Source organism: Homo sapiens, chromosome 6 (assembly GCF_000001405.40).
Source record: "Homo sapiens chromosome 6, GRCh38.p14 Primary Assembly".
Taxonomy (NCBI): Eukaryota; Metazoa; Chordata; class Mammalia; order Primates; family Hominidae; genus Homo; species Homo sapiens.
The window spans coordinates 32,632,843-32,655,670 of NC_000006.12; the positions used below are offsets into that span (position 1 = coordinate 32,632,843).

At 40.6% G+C, this 22,828-nt stretch overlaps 1 protein-coding gene and 1 long non-coding RNA gene across 3 annotated transcripts, besides 1 other annotated feature; one reads left to right on the forward strand and one right to left on the reverse strand.

The window, feature by feature from the left end:
* Nucleotides 2,149–8,468, reverse strand: HLA-DQA1-AS1 (HLA-DQA1 antisense RNA 1). Its single transcript, XR_007059544.1, has 2 exons — nt 7,548–8,468; nt 2,149–6,399 (listed from the first exon to the last, which is right to left on the reverse strand). It is a non-coding gene; the product is annotated as an HLA-DQA1 antisense RNA 1 (long non-coding RNA).
* Nucleotides 4,368–4,517: an enhancer, noted in NCBI's record as "active region_24360". NCBI's record gives its function as "activates an Ori minimal core promoter by ATAC-STARR-seq in GM12878 lymphoblastoid cells {active_cell/tissue: GM12878}" and the evidence as "EXISTENCE:reporter gene assay evidence [ECO:0000049][PMID:35858748]".
* Nucleotides 4,564–22,430, forward strand: HLA-DQA1 (major histocompatibility complex, class II, DQ alpha 1). Of its 2 annotated transcripts, NM_002122.5 has the most exons (5): nt 4,564–4,698; nt 8,468–8,716; nt 9,130–9,411; nt 9,768–9,942; nt 10,110–10,842. In NM_002122.5, the coding sequence occupies exons 1-4, from the start codon at nt 4,617–4,619 to the stop codon at nt 9,920–9,922; spliced, it is 768 nt and encodes a 255-aa protein (NP_002113.2). In that variant the 5' UTR covers nt 4,564–4,616; the 3' UTR covers nt 9,923–9,942; nt 10,110–10,842. The 2 variants fall into 2 exon arrangements, with proteins under 2 accessions (NP_002113.2, XP_006715142.1); XM_006715079.5 differs by lacking the exons at nt 9,768–9,942; nt 10,110–10,842 and adding an exon at nt 21,825–22,430.
* Nucleotides 22,431–22,828: the final 398 nt, after the last annotated feature.

The window sequence follows — 22,828 nt, forward strand, 5'->3', positions numbered from 1 at the left end:
GCTACAGAGATGTGAGGGAGCCCACCTGAGAAAAGCTGAACCTGCCCAGTACATAAAAACCACTCAGGTGGGTTGAGCACAATTTCCTGTCTTACAGAATCATGAGGAGACACTAAACAATTATTTGAAGTCATTAAGTTTTGGAGTACTTTGTTACATAAAAAAATCTGACAGATACAAGAGTCTTCAAAAAAATTTTGTTTTTCAGCAATGTCTTAGTGCTTCTGTGGCTCACAGGCTCCCACATGCCTGGAGTGCTACAGGGAGAAGGTTAAATGAATGAGGAAAAATTGATAGGCTTTCCCAGCCCAAAGCATGATGTTATTATCATTATCATTATTAATATTTGTCTTTATATAGGAGCTACCACTTGGGAATAGTTGCTATGTGTCAGACACTGGATTGTATTTAACTTTATAATTGTACTTATCTATCATTTCATTTTACCATATTAACTATCATCTAATAATTTTCCTTCTGTTTTATAGAAAATAACCTTAAGGCTCAGGAGTTTTGAGTAGCTTGCCCAAGGTGATGCAGCTGATAAAATGAAAAGCAGCATGGAATACATATTTATCTTATTACAAAATCTGTATTCTTTTTACTTTGCTACTCTAGACTCTCTTATTATTGTGAAGCAGCTTTAACTACTGCAAGACAGAAGTCTTGGCCTTCAGAGTAAAACTTCACCAGTGCATAAAGTCAGACTAAAGCAATTTGAAAATATACAGTCTTAGAGAATGTTATAACTGTTTATTAGAACTAACATAAATTCTACCTAATTTCTTAGAGGGCTCTTAATGATGTCAATTATAATGGCACATCCCATTGTTATTTTAGTCATGGAATCAATGGCATGTCAATAAGTGCTTTCTGAGAAAATTGTTGGACAAAGTACTATTTTGAACTCCAAATTTTATTCCCACTATTAATTTATGAAGAGGGCCTTTTCTCTTTCTACTAGACAAAGGTAACAAATTAGCTCTTGTTAAAATGGTATGCTGTTCTTCTGAGTCTCATTTACTTATTACTTTACCTTACATTAAAATTATGACCTGAAGACATAAGCAACTGGAACAACGTTCACTGTGTTATGGCCGGATGAAGCAGGAAGAGGAAAGAGACAAAACTAGGTTAAAGATAGAAATGGCATCTATTGGGCCAGTCGTGGCCTCACGCCTGTAATTCCAGCACTTTGGGAGGCCAAGGCAGGCAGATCACGAGGTCAGGAGATCGAGACCATCCTGGTTAACACAGTGAAACCCCATCTCTACTAAAAATACAAAAAATTAGCCGGGCGTGGTGGCAGGTGCCTGTAGTCCCAGCTACTTGCAGTGAGCCGAGATTACGCCACTGCACTCCAGCCTGGGCGACAGAGCAAGACTGTCTCAAAAAAAGAAAAAAAGAAATGGCGTCTATTATCTCTTCAATGACTTTGCCTTGCTTGGACTTTCCCTTCACCCCACAGGATGTGAGGTCTGAAACGGCACCCTCAACTTCCCATCCAAGATACAATTCTAATCCTACATTTAACACCCTAACTTCTTAACTGGAGTTGAGTTATTTAAACTGTAATTTTAATAGGTGAAATTCTGGACTACCATCCCAAAACATTTTGCTCATTTGCCAAAGTCCTAAGGAATTTCCATGAGATACAAAGCAGGTAAGTCTGGATACAGGAAAAAAGATAAAAACATGTTATTTGCTACACAGCCAGAAGGGTATTGAGTGGCAAAGGGAGCACATCTCAAAGGGGACCTCAAAAACCCTCTTCATCCACAATGGCAGGAGCTAGAAAGAATAAAGCCACCTATAGGGTCAAATATCTCTCCTAATCATGTTAAGGCACTGGATTCTGAATTTGCACAGAAGGAGACTCTCACCCATCACTCCTCACAAGGACTCATGGCTTGCCCCATAGCATCACATCTGTGCTGCTTACCAGCTGCGTGACCCTGGGAAAAGTCCTTCAACTCTCTGGGCTTTAATGTCCTCCTCGGAAAATGAGAACGATATTAAAATATGACAAGTATATGTAAAGAGTCCAGGAATTTTTCATTCCAAGTGCAGTGTATGTACATTTCTCACAACTGCCTAATGAGGTACCTCAATGCCTCCAGCCAAAGACCAGCAGGAGCATACAAGCAATGAACAAGTCAGCTTTATTGTTTATTGCAATGATGGATAAAACTCACCATGAGAATCATGCAGCCCCTCAGTAAGAGATTGTTGGAACCAAAGAAGTAGAACCACGAGAATACATATATTAAGAGAATGATGCAAGGAATTAATTTTTGCATCTGTGGGGGTGGGCTAGGCAAGTCAGAGATCCTCTGGGAGGTAGTTATCAGGAAGGGCAGGCTGGAACTCTCAGCACAGGCTGACACACTGTCCAGAGTGGAATTTCTGTTTCCTCAGAGAAACCTCAGCTCTGCTCTTAAGGCTTTTCAACAGCTTAGATTAAGCTCACCCAGTTTTCCTAGGATAAATTCTTAAAGTCAACTGATTATGAACTTCAATGACATCTACAAAATATCTTCACAGCAACATCTAGATTATTAGTGTTTGACTGAATAACTGGGGATCACAGTCTAGCTGACACATAAAATTGACCATTAATCAGTTGTAAGGTTTGTGCTTGTTTTAGGTGATTTTGGGGAGGATTTAAGAAAGAGGGATTTTGCTTTTAATTGGATTCTGACAGAAAGTGGAGGGTTGGGGTGGCAATGTTATGATTGGGTAGCTTCATAAATCCTACCTAGAGGGACAGAAGACTATCCTGAGGCTACAGACGTGGTTGGTAAAGAAGCAGTAATCACTCCCAAGAGAGAGATGTGCCTGGTCATTTTTGTGGTTTGGACAATATTTATGTTTTGTCTGGGTTCAGACATGATGACTGAGCATTCAGGTGTTCTGTCTCAATCCACTGTGCTCACAGAGTACCTGTCTGATTCTGATGTTCTATGAAATCCTTTATCTCCAACAGGAGAACCAAAACCACCTGGGAGTGCCAGGCTAGCTGCTAGCAACCCCAAGCCTTTGTTAATTACATCCAGACAGCTCTCAGGTGTCAGGACATTTTTTTTTTTGTTTTACTTTTTTTTTTTACAGTCTCTGCCAGTAGGAGGTAAAACATAGTGCTGAGAATCTCAGAAGGCCATTTATCAAGGACAGAGTGATTCTAAATAGAAGCTCCATTAACTTACGGTTTCTATCACATACAGAAAATAGATGCATCTGAAAAAACATAATAAGTTTCCCTCTAAGGACTAACTTTAGCTCAATCTCTAGTCCCTTGCAAATATTTGGAATTTTAATGGGGTAGGATAACAAGTTTTAAAAGATCTGATAGTTTAAGAAAAGAAAACCATTTTTCTAAGGCAGTGCAATTCTTATTCTACCCTCAACTTTTGACTTCATATTCTTAATTAAAAAAAAAATTCTTAGAGTAATTGAGCCAGCCAAATTTTAAATGTAATCAATGTCCCTAAATTTCCTTTAAACGTACTCAAGAAGCACCAAAACACAGAACATAAGGATTACTCAATGCAAAGAAAAACTGTATAAAGTCTCATATAGTTACTATAGACAGCCCCATCTGACATTATAACCCCTTTTTATTGCCCTGGCCAAAACCACCTGGAGCTTTTGAGCACTTGAGAAGAACTTACCCAGCTGGATTTATACAAGTAGAAAAGGCAAAGGTATTGCTTGGGCTACCACCAGCAGAGATCCCTAGGTAGGTGGGGTCAGCTTAACATTTGGAGAATTCCATACGCACTGTGGAAGCTAAAAGAAAAACAGCTAACCCACATACAGAAGCCAGAGAAAGGGCAGGGGATGGGGACTGCCAGGGAGGGAAATCAACTCAGGGAAAAATTCCTGGAGGTTGTAAGCCAGAACATCCTGAAGGATGCCGTATAACTGATGACCTCATCTATCCACGAGGCTGCTCAGAAATGCCCACCCCTGGCCAGGCGCGGTGGCTCATGCCTGTAATCTGAGTACTTTGGGAGGCTGAGACGGGCAGATCATGAGGTCAGGAGTTCAAGACCAGCGTGGCCAACATAGTGAAACCCCGTCTCTACTAAAAATACAAAAATTAGCTGGGCGTGGTGGCAGGTGCCTGCAGTCCCAGCTACTTGGGAGGGTGAGGGAGGAGAATCGCTTGAATCCGGGAGGCAAAGGTTGCAGTGAGCCGAGACCTTGCCATTGTACCTCAGCCTGGGTGACAGAGTGAGACTACGTCTCAAAAAAAAAGAAAAAGAAAAGAAAAAGGAAAAAAAAGAAAAACACCCATCCCTCTTGCGACTGGCAGACATGCACACACCAGAGAAGATTCCAATTTAATGTCCTCCCTTTATTCATAGAACAATTCCTCAAGTCCACTCTGAGTAGAGGCTGCATCACAAGGGGATTGCCCCGTCTCCTTCCAGGGCTCTTAATACAAACTCTTCAACTAGTAACTGAGATGTCACCATAGGGGATTTTTCTAATTGGCCAAAACCTGACTTGGCAGGGTTTGGTTTGGGTGTCTTCAGATTTCCTTGTCTTGAGGTCCTCACAATTACTCTACAGCTCAGAACACCAACTGCTGAGGCTGCCTTGGGAAGAGGATGATCCTAAACAAAGCTCTGCTGCTGGGGGCCCTCGCTCTGACCACCGTGATGAGCCCCTGTGGAGGTGAAGACATTGTGGGTGAGTGCATGAGTGAGGGATGTTCTCTGGAGCTGAAAAACAGTAAATTGAAGGAAAAGAGATAAAGCGATTTGCAGAGAAACTGTAGAGATTTCCTAAGGGCCCTTTCAGTATTAAGACAATTAAAAATTATAGCTGTTCCTCCTTCAGGAAACCAGAGCCCCAACCTACTCTTTTTGTTATCTATGCTGTTGTGTTCACTAAGGACGCTATTCTGTTTATATTATATTCAGTGACTACGGCCTGGAGGTCTCTATGTCGTTCCATCATGATTGCCTCAAAAATTAGTGAGGTTTCCATCAGTGGATAATTTTTTATTATTAAAAATTTATGAAGTGTCATTCTCAAATTTCCCTGAACAACTTTTGAAGCTTTTCGGATGTCTCCGGTGGTAGATCTTGGGGTCATTCCATCAATTATGTACTCTATAGATATTTAAAATGTTGCCCGTTTCTTTCTCTCAGACTTACTCACATTTCCACATGGGAACTGGCACAGGTGGGGAGTGGGTAAAGGAGTCCAGCAGGCTGAATGCCTTCAACAATCATTTTACCACATGGTCCTCACTTACTCTCAGCTGCCTCATATGTGTCACCTCACAAGTAATCAAATAAAATGGGCATGTGGCTAAGCTTTGTAAATAGTGAAAACATGAATGTCAATTTTTTTTACATATTTCTATTACAGATATAGCTTCACATTTCTTTTCTTTAGCAAAATAAGGGATCATTTTATTTTAAAATTGAGAAGTAGAAAAAATTGGTAAAATAAATCATTTTATTCTCAAATTATCAACCCAAATTACCTGTTCTTCACCTCATCTAATAAAGTCCTATAAAAAGAAAAGTGGGCCAGACAAGGTGGCTCATGCCTGTAATCCCAGCACTTTGGGAGGCCGAGGCAGGAGGATCATTTGAGCCTGGGAGCTTGAGACCAGCCTGGGCAACATAGCAAGACCTCATCTCTACAAAAAAAGAAAAATAAAAATTAGCCAGGCATGGTGGTGTGTGCCTGTGGTGCCAGCTACTCAGAAGGCTGCCGTGGGAGGACCACTTGAGTCCATGAGGCGGAAGCTGCAGTGAGCCATGGTGGCACCACTACACTCCAGCCAGGGCAACAGAGAGAGGCGCTGTCTCAAAAAGAAAGAGGAAAGAAAGCGAGGAAGGAAGGAAGGAAGGAGAAGGAAGGAAGGAAGGAAAAGAAAAGAAAAGGGAAGGGAGGAAGGAAGGGAAAAAGAAAGACAGAAAGAAAGAGGAAGGAAGGAAGAAAGGAAGCACAGATTAATTATTTGGTCTCTTACTCTCCTCTGCCTTTGTCGTCCATCTCTTTCCACCTCTCTTCATGCATCCCTTTCTCCCTCTTCCCTTTCAGGATCCATCTCTGACTCCCTGCTCCTTTATAGAGATGGACAGTGGGTTTGTAAAACAAAAGTTGAAAAGTCAGATAGTTAAAAGGGGAAGTGAACTGGAAGGTACTTTAAACTTTCACAACTTTATTAACCGTGGCTGCTCCCATTATGATTTTGTTCGGCAGTGGAAGTTTCACCTGCTTCTCCAGAGCGCTTGGCGTCTTTGTTCCAAATTTCCTTTCTTCAACCTCACACCAGAGTGCCCTGGTCAGGCTTGGCTCATTCATTAGGCACAATGTGGGCAGTGCAGGGGACCCTCCATACTGTAAAGCCACATGAGAAGGTTTTAACTCCTTTTAAAATTAGAAAAATAATGGAATATTAGAGCCTAAGAAAATGTTTTAACTTTTAATTCAGCCTAGATTATATTGTCTTTATACCAATTCAGTCATAAAATATAATTTTCCATATTTTTGTGGAGGAAGAGGCCCATACAAGCAAGAATGCTCGGGGCTCACATGTCAGAATGCAGCCTTGGTCATGACTGATCCTGGCCTTCGTATGGTTCTGCTACCTGTGTGCCTGCCCGTCTTCCCCAAAATCTATGTGGTCCTCGAATATAGCAACTGTCATTCAATACACATGTTTGAGCACACAGTGAGCTAAGTTTTAAGGATTCAAAGATGAAAAGTCATGCTGTCTTCCCTGCAGAGGGTGCTCAGATTAGTGATGGAAACAGTATGGGGTGCAGGAAAGCAGAAGGCCATTGCTGAGCAGGGCAGTGGACCCAGCAGAGGCTGAAACAATACAAGTGACTTGGTTCCAGGTGGGCCAGCAGGGTGACGTCCTCTAGCAAAATTTGGCACCCAAGACAAGTACCAGAAGAAAAGAAAGACTGCATGTATTCCACATATATTCATGTTTGAACAAGGAGTCAAGATTTATGGCAAGGATAAGGAGGCTTTGTTGGTGACCTGTTAAGACCAACCAGGGCAGTCATGCTGGATAGGGAAGAAGGTGAGCTGGAAGAGGAACAGACAACTTGGACAGCCAGATGTTGAGACGGAGGGGTTGGAGGTCATAATGTGGTCAAAAACATGTTGATGAGAGGACTCAGCTACAAAGTTGTTAACTTAAGCAGAAACCTCAAGGATGGATTTTAGAATTTCTCCAGGAAGTCCTAAAAGATAATTCCATTTCAGGGAGAAAAACAACAGACCACTGCAAAGACCAGGGAACATGAAAGGATAATGTAGTTTGTCTTGCTTGGCAGATACTTTTGAAGGATGTTGGACTGTAAGGCTGTCGATATCCTCCTCAGAGAACTTACTACAGTACATTGTATCTGTTCCCTTACCTACCTGACTCTTCCACTATTCAGTTTGTTCCTTAATAGTAGACCATGCCTGATTGGTGTTTTACACATCTCCGGCTATGTCTGACACTTGTGGATGCTCAGAAAGTGGGGAAGGAAGGAAAGATACGATGGTAAAAGGCTTACACATGTCTTGACAAAAAAGTCCAGTTTGGCTCATTTGGCTGGAGTCGTACTGCATGGCTGCCATTCTGCTCTGGCATCCTCAGACAAGCACACTGCCCATTAGAGGAAAAAGTGTGATATAAGTGTTGAGTCAGAATGCTGTAGACATTTAGTAATCTCCTTCACAGGAAAAAAAAAAAAAAGGTGGGGGGAATGACAGAAATCCAAAAACTAGTAGAGCTTCCACTTTTCATTTCAGAAGAAATCAGTTGCTCTCCTCTAAGGACCATTACTATTAACAAAACAGAGACCTTAGAAGGAGGCATTGTTTATTTATTATATATTTTGTAATGTTATTACCAATCTTGTTATACTCTTTCTTATACCCTACAATTGTTAGCAGAAATTATTTTAAATTAATAAGATCCTGCATGCTTTTCCTTTAAAAAAAAAAAAAAGAAAGATCTCTGTGTAGAGTGTCCTATTCTGAGCCAGTCCTGAGAGGAAAGGAAGTATAATCAATTTGTTATTAACCAATGAAAGAATTAAGTGAAAGATAAATCTCAGGAAGCAGAGGGAAGTAAACCTAATTTCTGACTAAGAAAGCTAAATACTATGATAACTCATTCATTCCTTCTTTTGTTCAATTACATTATTTAATCATAAGTCCATGACATGCCAGGCACTCAGGAAATAGTAAAAATTGGACATGCGATATTCTGCCCTTGTGTAGCGCACACTAGAGTGGGAAAGAAAGTGCACTTTTAACTGGACAACTACCAACATGAAGAGGGGAGGAAGCAGGGGCTGGAAATGTCCACAGACTGTGCCAAAAAATGAAGCCCATAATATTTGAAAGTCAGTTTCTTCCATCATTTTGTGTATTAAGGTTCTTTCTTCCCCTGTTCTCCGCCTTCCTGCTTGTCATCTTCACTCATCAGCTGACCACGTTGCCTCTTGTGGTGTAAACTTGTACCAGTTTTACGGTCCCTCTGGCCAGTACACCCATGAATTTGATGGAGATGAGCAGTTCTACGTGGACCTGGAGAGGAAGGAGACTGCCTGGCGGTGGCCTGAGTTCAGCAAATTTGGAGGTTTTGACCCGCAGGGTGCACTGAGAAACATGGCTGTGGCAAAACACAACTTGAACATCATGATTAAACGCTACAACTCTACCGCTGCTACCAATGGTATGCGTCCACCATTCTGCCTCTCTTTACTTAAGTTATCCCTCCATACCAGGGTTCATTATTTTCTTCCCAAGAGGTCCCCAGATCTTCTTATGGCAATTGCTGAAATTTTATCATCTCCCATCTCTAAAATCACATATTCCCATGTAATACAAGGGTCTTTCCATTATGCATTCAGCAAATCCTTCTAGGAGAGGTCTCATCAACCTCCTACTTTATTAAACATGCCCACAGAGAGAAGGGCACAGGAATAAAGCAGAGGCAATGTGTCGTTGCTCCCAAGCAGAAGGTAAATAAGACCTCTTTGACTATCAGGTGGTGAAATGCTGGTAGGAGGGCTCTTCCAGGATGTAATGCAGAACTTCAGGGCAGAGCTATTCACACTTCACACCAGTGCTGTTTCCTCACCACAGAGGTTCCTGAGGTCACAGTGTTTTCCAAGTCTCCCGTGACACTGGGTCAGCCCAACACCCTCATTTGTCTTGTGGACAACATCTTTCCTCCTGTGGTCAACATCACATGGCTGAGCAATGGGCAGTCAGTCACAGAAGGTGTTTCTGAGACCAGCTTCCTCTCCAAGAGTGATCATTCCTTCTTCAAGATCAGTTACCTCACCTTCCTCCCTTCTGCTGATGAGATTTATGACTGCAAGGTGGAGCACTGGGGCCTGGACCAGCCTCTTCTGAAACACTGGGGTAAGGATGAGTTTCATCATTTTTTGATTCTTTCTTGTCTGTCAAGTTCAGAACTTCCTGCCTTTTACTCCTATATCCAAAAACTTGTTTTCCACACTTCATGGGTTTCTTTTCTGTCTCTCTTTTTTTTTTGAAAGAATAAAGCAAAAAAAGCAGAGATTTATTGAAAATGAAAGTACACTCTACAGGATGGGAGTGGGCCTGCCACTTCATGGTTTTCTAATGATAGACTTCACTCTTCTCCCTAAGCCTGGGGCCTTGAGTCTTTGCAGAGCCAACCCTCTACCCCATCCCATCCCACACACATGCACATGAGCACACTCTGCATTCTGACCTCAACAACTTCACTTCCACAGAGCCTGAGATTCCAGCCCCTATGTCAGAGCTCACAGAGACTGTGGTCTGTGCCCTGGGGTTGTCTGTGGGCCTCATGGGCATTGTGGTGGGCACTGTCTTCATCATCCAAGGCCTGCGTTCAGTTGGTGCTTCCAGACACCAAGGGCCATTGTGAATCCCATCCTGGAAGGGAAGGTAAGATTGAGACTGGTTACAGTTGAAGCGGCAGTATGAAAGGAAGGAAAGTGGGAGGGCGTTGTGGACATGAATGTGGTTGAAAGTTGTAGGGGAATTGGGAAGTGGCATGATGATGACACAGGAGCCCCCTCGGACCCATTGATCTCATGTCTGCCCTGTTGCAGGTGCATCGCCATCTACAGGAGCAGAAGAATGGACTTGCTAAATGACCTAGCACTATTCTCTGGCCCGATTTATCATATCCCTTTTCTCCTCCAAATATTTCTCCTCTCACCTTTTCTCTGGGACTTAAGCTGCTATATCCCCTCAGAGCTCACAAATGCCTTTACATTCTTTCCCTGACCTCCTGATTTTTTTTTTCTTTTCTCAAATGTTACCTACAAAGACATGCCTGGGGTAAGCCACCCGGCTACCTAATTCCTCAGTAACCTCCATCTAAAATCTCCAAGGAAGCAATAAATTCCTTTTATGAGATCTATGTCAAATTTTTCCATCTTTCATCCAGGGCTGACTGAAACTATGGCTAATAATTGGGGTACTCTTATGTTTCAATCCAATTTAACCTCATTTCCCAGATCATTTTTCATGTCCAGTAACACAGAAGCCACCAAGTACAGTATAGCCTGATAATATGTTGATTTCTTAGCTGACATTAATATTTCTTGCTTCCTTGTGTTCCCACCCTTGGCACTGCCACCCACCCCTCAATTCAGGCAACAATGAAATTAATGGATACCGTCTGCCCTTGGCCCAGAATTGTTATAGCAAAAATTTTAGAACCAAAAAATAAGTCTGTACTAATTTCAATGTGGCTTTTAAAAGTATGACAGAGAAATAAGTTAGGATAAAGGAAATTTGAATCTCAAAAATATCAAAAGTAAAAATGTATTCTCAAAACTTTAAATTTATGAAGAATGATGACAGTAGAAGCCTTCCTCTTCCCTTGTCACCTTGAGATAAAAATTCTTTAGGCAGGAAAAGAAATGGAAGTCAGAAAAACATTAGAATAAGACAATAATGTGGGTGTCTGAAAAGGAACAAATACTTATTCCTCACATAGGGTTAGTGACAATGGGAAAAGGGACGGGAGTAGAAGCCACAGACATATCTAGGAGCCCTGAATAGAGGCGCAGTCTGCCTCACCTCCTGAATGAAGCTGTACTAGATAACCATGTAGCTTTCCCTGTGCCACTCTGGCATGAAGGAGACAGTATAGTGAATATGGCTACAGGATGTTTCTTGGAAACATGCCAATATCTTCAGAAATCCCCAGCCCTTTCCCCTAACCCCTCCTGACTAAGGAAAGCATGAGCTTATGAGAGAAACCCTAGGAAGAACAACACAGTTGAGACAATGTAGCAGCAGCAGTGGGTGCTGTGTCCTCCACTGGATTCGCCATCTCCGAGGAGAAACTCTCACAGAGGAAATGGGTCAGCAGCGACCTCATGGCTCTAAACAGCTATGAAATCCATGAGGATATTTCTAACCATGCTACCTGCATCAGTGAGTTTAAATTTTAATTGGAGAAAAAATACAAAACATTAATGCAATAATTGATACAGTATAGTTTGGTGCAAAGAACCCTAAATCCAAATCCAGGACTCAGTACTTTGAAGCTAGTATTTTAAACTTTATAAATGTGTGAAGTCTCTAACATTTCTGGCCTTACTTTTCTCATCCACAATGTAGGAGTAATAATACTTTCCTTGCAGAGTTATTGATAAAATTTGAATAATTTTGATATTTAGTCAATGCCTTACACATAGTACATGAACACATAAGAAAACATTGTGGTTATATTTATAATTAATTTATTTAAAAGAATGGATCATATTATATGAAAAGCACTTTTGTTTTTCTCAGCCTCTTAATGATTTAGGAGATTCAAATGTAGAGCTATGGGTGAATTTCTTTTCATATGATAATTGAAGGATATTTTTCTTTTTCCAGAATGAGAGAGGCTGAGATTGGATTGGTAAGAGAACTCTTAGCACTAGAAGTTGTAATATTTGACTTTGGTTTTCAACTCTCTAAGAGGGAATATATTCCCTCCTTATGGCCCATAAGTGTTTATTCAAGGTATATCATATACAACAGATCTTTATGCCTGTTTACTTTGGGGAAGAAGTGAAGATAGTTCAAGGAGAAAATAATTTAAAACACAGACTGGGAATCAGTAAGCACAGGAAATCTGAACCAGTGATGATCATGAAAATGTCCATCACAGAGCACAGATGATTTTCAGGGCAATAAAACTATTCTGTTTGATACCACAATGGTGAAAAATGTCATTATACATTTGCTCAAATCCACAGAATATATAACACCAAGAGTTAGACTTAATGTAAACTATGGACTTTGGGTGATAATGATGTGCCAATGTAAGTTCATAAATTATAGCAAATGTACCACTCAGATGGGAGATGTTGCTAATGGGGGAGGCTATGCATGTGTGGGAGCAGAGTGTATCTGGCAGCAGTCCCCAGCCTTTTTGGCAGCAGGGACCAGTTTTATGGAAGACAATTTTTCCACAGATAGTTGGGGGAATGGGGGTATGATCTGGGGATGAAACTGTGAAACTATTCCACCTCAGATCAACAAGCATTAGTTAGATTCTCATAAGGAACATGCAACCTAGATCTCTTGCATGCACAGTTAAAAATAGGGTTCGCACTCCTATGAGAATCTAATGCCACCACTGATCTGACGGAAGGCGGGGCTCAGTTGGTAATGCTGGCTCACCCACTGCGTGGTCCAGTTTCTAACAGGCCACCAACTGGTACTGGTCCATGGCCCGGGGGTTGGGGACCTCTGGGATACCTCTGCACCTTCTGCTCAGTTTTTCTGTGAACCTACAACCGCTTTAAAATAAGGTCTATTTTTAAAAAGGAAAAGAGAAGGTAACCAATTATGATCCTAAATGTGTAAAATAAAAATTTTAGTATGAAAAACAGTCACATTAAAATGCACAACGTGCTAAGAAGCTTTTAGCAATAGGGTTTCAAATATATTTCATATACATTTCAATGATTCGTGAGGCAAGAACCCAGCATTTTGGAGTTGTGTGCATTTGTGTGTGTGTGTGTGTGTGTGTGTGTGTGTCTGTAATATAAGGGGTATACTGAATGGCATAATGACCAGAGTCATGCAGAAATCTACAAATGCTGCCCAACTCAGACTCCTTCCTCAAGCAGCACTGTGGAAAGCAAATTTAATGATAGCAGTATTTTATTAAAAGGATGTATTCAAAAAATATTTACGTAATGTTAAAATAGCAGAATTAAAACTAATTCTAAAAAATAAGAGTAAATAGTTCTTTTTATCAGCTAAAAATGTAGGGCCTACTATCAATAGGGTTACAGATCTACCTGCCTGATTTAAAATCATGCAATTCTTAAACAATTATTTGAGCTATTTGAATTATTTCAGATTACACACATAAAGTGTGACTTCATTAATACTTAATATCACACTATTTAAAATTTACAAAATTAGTGGGTCACAGAGGCTCGTGCTTGTGATCTTAGCACTTTGGAGGCCAATAGGGGAGGATTGCTTGAAGCCAGGAGTTCAACAGCTGCCTGGGCAACAAAGCAAGACCTTGTCTCTACAACACAAAAATAAATTAATGCATGGCGGCACTCCTGTAGTCCCAGCTACTCTAGAGGCTGAGGCAAGAGGAGTGCTTGAGCCCAGGAGTTCAATACTTCAGTGGGCTAAGATTGTGCCACTGTGCTCACTCCAGCCTAGGCAGCAGAGCAGGACTCCATCTCTAAAAGTAAATAAATAAATAAAACTTACAAAATTTTAAAAATCAAATGAAATATGTCAGGTTTGTACCTACCACATTTAAACTAGGGACTTGAAGAATTAAACATTTTATTACAAATGAAGCACTTCATGCACAGACTGGCACATAGTAAGTAGTCGATAGGTGTTAACAATTTGTGTTATTGTTATTTTCTGGAGTCCAACTAACAAATCCCACAGTGAATGACATCACAGGGATGCAACCAACAAGATCCAGAATATGGAAACTTCTACTAGATAAACAACTCCATTTCTTCAGCAACAATTCAAGAGAGAGAGAGAAGAGAAGCTATACATTTTAAAAGGCTGAAGAAATATATGAACCAAATTTGTATGAGGCAATCAGAAAAACTGACACCGACTGTATTAAGGAATTATCTAATTTTAGTGTGGTAATGAGATTGCTGTTATGTTTTCTAAAAAGTCATTATACTTTAGATTTTCATAATAAAATAATTATGAATGAAATATGAGATCTGAAAGTATCTTCAAAATAAGCCAGTGTGCACGTATGATTAATTGGGTGGGTTTACAAAATTGCCCATGAATTGAGTATTGTTAAAGCTGGCCTTTTAAAACATGGTACTCAGCCAGGCGCGGTGCCTCATGCCTGTAATCCCAGCACTTTGGGAGGCCAAGGCGGGCAGAACGCCTGAGGTCAGGAGTTCGAGACCATCCTGGCCAACATGGCGAAACCCTGTCTCTTCTAAAAATATAAAAAATTAGCTGGGCGTGGTGGTGGGCACCTGTAATGCCAGCTACTTGGGAGGCTGAGGCAGGATAATTGCTTGAACCCAGGAGGCAGAGGTTGCAGTGAACTGAGATCATGCTGTTGCACTCCAGCCTGGGCAACAGGGCAAGACTCTGTGAAAAAACAAACAAAAAAACCATGGTACTCTTCTCTCTACTACTGTACACAGTTGAAGTTTTCTACAATGCAAAGTTTTTTAAAAATGCATTCCAGGAAAGTCCCATAAACATAGGCAGAGAAGCATTCTGTTTGAAGTTATGTTAGTTTTTAGGCTCTTCTCATTTTTATCACAGTTAGGAAACCCTGAGTATCCAAATCCTTCCTAAGTCTATGGGAACCTCTCAGAAATGCAACTCTAAAGAATGTGTATGCAAGAACTAATAACAGCAAAGGAGAGCAAATTACTTTTTCCTTTATTATTGGCTATACTAAGCCCCCAGACTTGTTTATATGTTCATTAATTCATCAAAAATGCAAAAATGGTCATGGAGTACCATTATAGCAATAAGTACAATACTTTGTTATGAGTATCATTAAAATAAGGTGAAAAGAGATACATTCATTGTCTTCATAGAAATTACACTGTAGTGGGAAGAAATATACATATATTACATAATTCCACAAACATGTAATTACAAACTCTGAATAATTTATAAAGGAAAAGAATGAGGTAAAACGAGAAAGTGTCACGCAGGAACCAGGTATAATTTGGGGGCGTTTAGAGATGGCTTGAAGAAATGTATCTTGAGATAAAATAAGATGGTATACAGTAGGTAAAGGACAAGGTTGAGGAGGGCAGAGCAATGTTTGAGAAACTCTAACAATATGAAAGAGAAGATGAGAATTTAATAACATGAAAATTATTACAGATTTAATAGAGAAAGCTCATGTAACAGCAAACAAGTTTAAAATCTTTCTAATTAGAATTTTATGAGGCCAACATCACCCTGATACCAAAGCCTGGCAGAGACACAACAAAAAAAAGAGCATTTTAGGCCAATATGCCTGATGAACATCAATGTGAAAATCCTCAATAAAATACTGGCAAACCAAATCCAGCAGCACATCAAAAAGCTTATCCACCACGATCAAGTTGGCTTCATCCCTGGGATGCAAGGCTGGTTCAACATACGCAAATCAATAAATGTAATCCACCACATAAACAGAACCAATGACAAAAACCACATGATTATCTCAATAGATGCAGAAAAGGACTTCGAAAAAATTCAACAGCCCTTCATGCTAAAAACTCTCAATAAACTAGGTATTGATGGAACATATCTCAAAATAATAAGAGCTATTTATGACAAACCCACAGCCAATATCTTACTGAATGGGCAAAAACTGGAAGCATTGCCTTTGAAAACCAGCACGAGACAAGGATGCCCTCTCTCACCACTCTTATTCAACATATTATTGGAAGTTCTGGCCAGGGCAATCAGGCAAAAGAAAGAAATAAAGGGTATTCAATTAGGAAAAGAGGAAGTCAAATTGTCACTGTTTGCAGATGACATGATTGTATATTTAGAAAAGCCCATCGTCTCAGCCCAAAATCTCCTTTAGCTGATAAGCAACTTCAGCAAAGTCTCAGGATACAAAATCAAAGTGAAAAAATCACAAGCATTCCTATACAGCAATAATAGACAAAAAGAGAACCAAATCATGAGTGAACTCCCATTCTCAATTACTACAAAGAGAATAAAATACCTAGGAATCCAACTTACAAGGGATGTGAAGGACCTCTTCAAGGAGAACTACAAACCACTGCTCAATGAAATAAAAGAGGACACAAACAAACAGAAGAACATTCAATGCTCGTGGATAGGAAGAATCAATATCATGAAAATGGCCATACTGCCCAAGGTAATTTATGGATTCAATGCTATCCCCATCAAGCTACCAGTGACTTTCTTCACAGAATTGGAAAAAACTACTTTAAATTTCACATGGAACTAAAAAAGAGCCCACATAGCCAAGACAAGCCTAAGCTTAAAGCTTAGCAAAAAGAACAAAGCAAAAAGAACAAAGCAAAGAAACCTAAGCAAAAAGAACAAAGCTGGAGGCATCACGCTACCTGACTTCAAACTATACTACAAGGCTACAGTAACCAAAACAGCATGGTACTGGTACCAAAACAGATATATAGACTGATGGAACAGAACAGAGTCCTCAGAAATAACACCAGACATCTACGAACATCTGATTTTTGACAAACCTGACAAAAACAAGCACTGGGGAAAGGATTCCCTATTTAATAAATGGTGCTGGGAAAACTGGCTAGCCATATGTAGAAAGCTGAAACTCGATCCCTTCCTTACACCTTATATAAACATGAACTCAAGATGCATTAAAGACTTAAACATAAAACCTAAAACCATAAAAACCCCAGAAGAAAACCTAGGCAATACCATTCAGGACATAGGCATGGGCAAAGACTTCATGACTAAAACACCAAAAGCAATGGCAACAAAAGCCAAAATTGACAAATGGGATCTAATTAAATGAAAGAGCTTCTGCACAGCAAAAGAAACTATCATCAGAGTCAACAGGCAACCTACAGAATGGGAGAAAATTTTTGCAATCTACCCATCTGACAAAGGGCTAATATCCAGAACCTACAAAGAACTTAAACAAATTTACAAGAAAAAACAAACATCATCAAAAAACCCTCATCAAAAGGTGGACAAAGGATGTGAACAGACACTTCTCAAAAGAAGACATCTATGCAGCCAACAGACACATAAAAAATGCTCATCATCACTGGTCACCAGAGAAATGCAAATCAAAATCACAATGACATACCATCTCACACCAGTTAGAACAGTGATCATTAAAAAGTCAGGAAACAACAGATGCTGGAGAGGATGTGGAGAAATAGGAATGCTTTTACACTGTTGGTGGGAGTGTAAATTAGTTCAACCATTGTGGAAAACAATGTGGCGATTCCTCAAGGAATTTTTAGTTCTAGAAATACCATTTCACCCAGCGATCCCATTCCTGGGTATATACCCAAAGGATTATACATCATGCTACTATAAAGACACATGCACATGTATGTTTATTGCGGCACTATTCACAATAGCAAAGACTTGGATCCAACCCAGATGTCCATCAATAATAGACTGGATAAAGAAAATGTGGCACATATACACCATGGAATACTATGCAGCCATATAAAAGGATGAGTTCATGTCCTTTGCAGGGACATGGATGAAGCTGGAAACCATCATTCTGAGCAAACTATCACAAGGACAGAAAACCAAACACCGCATGTTCTCGCTCATAAGTGGGAGTTGAACAATGAGAACACATGGACACAGGGAGGTGAACATTACACACAGGGGCCTGTCGGGGAGTCGGGGGTTGGGGGAGGGATAGCATTAGGAGAAATACCTAATGTAAATTACGAGTTGATGGGTGCAGCAAACCAATATGGCACATGTATACCTATGTAACAAACCTGCACGTTGTGCACATGTACCCTAGAGCTTAAAGTATAATAATAATAATAATAATAATAATAATAATAATAATAATAATAAAGAATTCTTTTTTTTTTTTTTGAGACAGAGTCTCGCTTTGTTGCCCAGGCTGTAGTGCAGTGGTGCGATCTTGGCTCACTGCAAGCTCCCTGGGTTCATGCCATTCTCCTGCCTCAGCCTCCCAAGTAGCTGGGCCTATAGGCGCCCGCCATCACGTCTGGCTAATTTTTTGTATTTTTAGTAGAGACGGGGTTTCACCATGTTAGCCAGGATGGTCTCTGCCTCCTGACCTCGTGGTCTCCCTGCTCGGCCTCCCAAAGTGTTGGGATTACAGGCCTGAGCCACCACACCCGGCCAAAAAAGAATTCTTAATCTGTAAAAGTAATAATAGAATGGTACAAAAAATTGGAAAATTTAATAGAAAGGTTGAAAAATGTAATCAAGAAAATCTCACTGACATTTAAAAAGACATGGCCAGGCGTGGTGGCCCAAGCCTGTAATCCCAGCACTTTGGGAGGCCAAGGCGGGCAGATCATTAGGTCAGGAGATCAAGACCATCCTGGCTAACACGGTGAAACCCTGTCTCTACTAAAAGTACAAAAAATTAGCCGGGCATGGTGGCGGGCGCCTGTAGTCCCAGCTGCTCGGGAGGCTGAGGCAGGAGAATGGCGTGAACGCGGGAGGTGGAGCTTGCAGTGAGCCGAGATCGAGCCACTGCACTCCAGCCTGGGTGTCAGAGCGCGATTCCGTCTCAAAGCAAAAAAAAAAAAAAAAAGACAATGAAATGTAATATGTGGTAGAAAAGCTAAAACAGAGAATAGACCAAGGAAGTCCAACCTCAGGTTACAGAGCTAGAGAGACCAACAGAGAAGATGAAGGGAGAAAATTATCAAAACAAATAATAAGGGAAAAATTTCCAAATATGAAGGACCCAATTCTTTAAATAGAAAGATATTGCCAGGTATTCATCAAAATTAATACTCATCTTGAAATATATCATTTTCAAAATTTCAGAGCCTCAAGGGTTAAAGAAACATCATAAAATATTCCAGTAAGGGAAACCAAAATGAAACTGACAACAGACAGAAAGTCGGACTCCTAGATGCTTCTATTAAGATAATAAGAAAGGCCTTGAAGTTCTAATGGAAAATTATTTTTATTAATAAATGTAGACCTTTTCGGCCTGGCACGGTGGCTCACGCCTGTAATCCCAGCACTTTGGGAGGCCGAGGCTTGCGGATCATGAGCTCAGGAGATCGAGACCATGGTGAAACCCCGTCTCTACTAAAAATACAAAAAAAATTAGCTGGGCACGGTGGCGGGTGCCTGTAGTCCCAGCTACTCGGGAGACTGAGGCAGGAGAAAGGCTGAACCCGGGAGGCGGAGTTTGCAGTGAGCCGAGATCATGCCACTGCACTCCAGCCTGGGGACAGAGGGAGACTCCATCTCAAAAAAAAAAAAAAAATGTAGACCTTTTCAAAATCACAATCAGGCACAGAGAAAGAATAAAAATACTGTTGGATATGAAAGGACATAAATTTTACCTACCACACAGTTTTATTAGAAATTGACTAAGGATATTACTTAGTAAAGTGAAACTGTTAATCAGGAAATGGGAAGGTAAAGAATCCAGGAAACTGAATTTAATGCAGGACCTCACTGAAAAGGGATCCTACTATAGCAGTTCCTTGGCAAGCAAAGAATGTCTGATACATGAGTGATATTTAGAAAATGATGAACAATTTTTTCAACTTTTAGAATTAAGCTACGAGCAAAGCCCAAGGATGCTTAGTGTTACAGCAGAATGTCAAAATGGTCAGCTTTGACGATATTGAAAAAAGGGTGCATGTACCTCATTTTGTCAAGTGGAAGCATAAAGTGGAGGGGAAAGGAAGGGTAACAATGTCAATAACTTTCATCTTCTAAGACGGAGGAAAGAGACATTGCCCATAGTTAAGGAAGAAGTCACAAAGATCACTACATTTAAATTACATTTGTAACCAAAAGAATTATGAAAGATGGCTCATGAATTAAAGCAGGGTTTTAGAAACTGTATTATTATTCAGTCACAAAAAGTCTTCAGCCTAACCCCCAGGGAGTTCTGAAGCTGTAAGAGCCTTTCAGAGTTGGCCCAAATTAGGGAAAGGGTTTAGGACATTTATACCCCCACACTGACCAGTCATTATAGGTGGATTCTTCCTGGGAAGTGGAGTAAAATCCGATGAGGCAGGTTTCATCACCTAAGGCAATTCCAGGGGATGGCTGACAGCTAAGGGCAGTCAGCCAGCAACATTCCCAGCAATGAGAGAATAAATCCTTCAGTCCCAAAGGGAGGCAGGTAGAACAGAACAGCATCCACAACAGAAACAGTGTTCTAGTTCCTGAGAATACATATATATTCATGTGGAAGAAAACAAACAAATAAATGTATGTTTGTTGTTGTTGTTGTTGTTGTTTGAGACAGAGTCTCACTCTGTCACCCAGGCTGCAGTGCAATGGTGTGGTCTCAGCTCACTGCAACCTCTGCCTCCCAGGTGATTCTCCCACCTCAGCCACCTGAGTAGCTGGGACTACAGGTGTGTGCCACCACACCCAGCTAATTTTTGTATTTCTAGTAGAGATGGGGCTTCACTATGTTGGCCAGGCTGGTCTCAAACTCTTGACCTCATGATCCACCCACCTCGGCCTCCCACGTGCTGGGATTACAGGCGTGAACCACTGTGGCCGGCCCAGATAAATGTTTTTTTTAAATTCATCATCTCTTTAAAAATTAAAAATAGAACTACCACATGATCTGGCAATTCCACTCCTGGGTACATCTGCAAAGAAAATGCAATCAGTATATCAAAGAGATATCTGCACTCCCATGTTCATCGCAGCACTACTCACAATGGGCAAGAGATGGAATCAACCTAAGTGTCCATCAGCAGATGAGTGGATAAAGAAACTGGTCTATATACACAATGGAATACTATTCAGTCTTATAAAAGAAGGAAATCTTTTACATCATTATGTTAAAGAACCTGGGGGACATTATGTTAAGGGAAATAAGCCAGGCACAGAAAGACAAATACCACATGACCTCACTTACATGTGGAATCTAAAAAAGTCAAAATCACAGCAGGTGGGGAAATGGGGGTAGTAGGGAGGGCGACAAGGAGGAATGAGAAAATGTTGGTCAAAAGGTACAAAGAAGGGCAGGTTGTGGTGGCTCATGCCTGTAATCCCACCACTTTGGGAGGCTGAGGCAGGTGGATTGGTTGAGCCTCGTTCAAGACCAACTGGACAGCATGCTGAAACTCTGTCTTTACAAAAATACAGAAATTAGCCAGGCATGGTGGGGCATGCCAGTAGTCCCAGCTACTCCAGAGATTGAGGTGGGAGGATGGACTGAGCCCAGGAAGTCAAGGCTGCAGTGAGCTGTGATCATACCACTGCATTCCAGCCAGAACTAGGCCCTGTCTCAAAAAAAAAAAAGTACAAAGTTTCAGTTAGACAGGAGGAATAAGTACTGGAGATCGACTGTACAGCATGGTGACTACGGTTAATAATAATGCACTGTCATTTCTCAGCATCCATGAGAGATTGGTTCCAGGATCCTCTCTGTATACCAAAATCTGAGAATGCTCAAGTCCCTTATTAAAAATGGCTTAGTTTTTGCATATAACCTAAGCTTATCCTCCCATATACTTTAAGCCATCTCTAGATTACTTATAATACCCAATGCAATGTAAATGCTATGTAAATAGTTATTATACTGTATTGTTTTGGAATTGGAATTTTTTTATTGTTATATTGTTATTTTTCATTTTTTTCTATGTATTTTCAATCCACAGTTGAATGAATCAGAGGATGTGGAACCCACAGATACAGAGAGCCAACTGTATTGCCTATTTGAAAATTGCACTGGGCATGGTGGTTCACGCCTGTAATTCCAGCACTTTGGGAGGCCAAGGTGGGTGGATCACCTGAGGTCAGGAGTTCAAGATCAGCCTGGCCAACATGGTGAAACCCTGTCTCGGGAAACCCCTGTCTCTACTAAAAATACAAAAATTATCTGGGCATGGTAGTGCATGCCTGTAGTCCCAGCTATTTGGGAGGCTGAGGCAGGAGAATTGCTTGAATCCCAGAGGCGGAGGTTGCAGTGAGTGGAGACAGCACCAATGCACTCCAGTCTAAGTGACAGAGCAAGACTCTGTCCCAAAAAAAAAAAAAAAAAAGGAAATTGCTAAGAGAGATTTTAAATATTCATACCACAAAAAAAGTGAAGTGATGGATATGTTAATTAGCCTGGTTTAATCACATGTATCAAAAAGTCATGTAGTACCCTGTAAATGCAGTTATTTGTCAATTAAAAATGATTAACGAGTTTAAAATTTTTTCGAAGTGTAACATTTTTAACTTTTTCTTGTTCAAATAAAGTTTTCTGTTTTTTAAAATCACCTCTTAACTTCCATTAACTCAATTGATTCACCCTATTAACTTAAGAACTCTGTTCCTTAAGTTAAACATTTCATGATAATCAGGAAGGGCAAGGTTATGTTGCAACAAGATCTTAACCCACAGTAAAAAGTAGATCTCAGTGGCTTAACTCAATAAGGAGACTTAATTTCACAGTTATTCAAGTGACTCAGGTTATGGAGTTTCCAGCATCTCATACACCACCATGCACCTACTTGCAAGTTCCATTGGCTACTGTCAGTCAAATGACCCCAACTTAACAGCAGAAAAGACGGAAATATACAGGAGCTTTGGAATACTGGCAAGCACCACTGTCTCCAAAAGATATACTGTTATTATCTAAGGTAAGGACAAATGCTCAGGACTGGTAGGTTTTTCT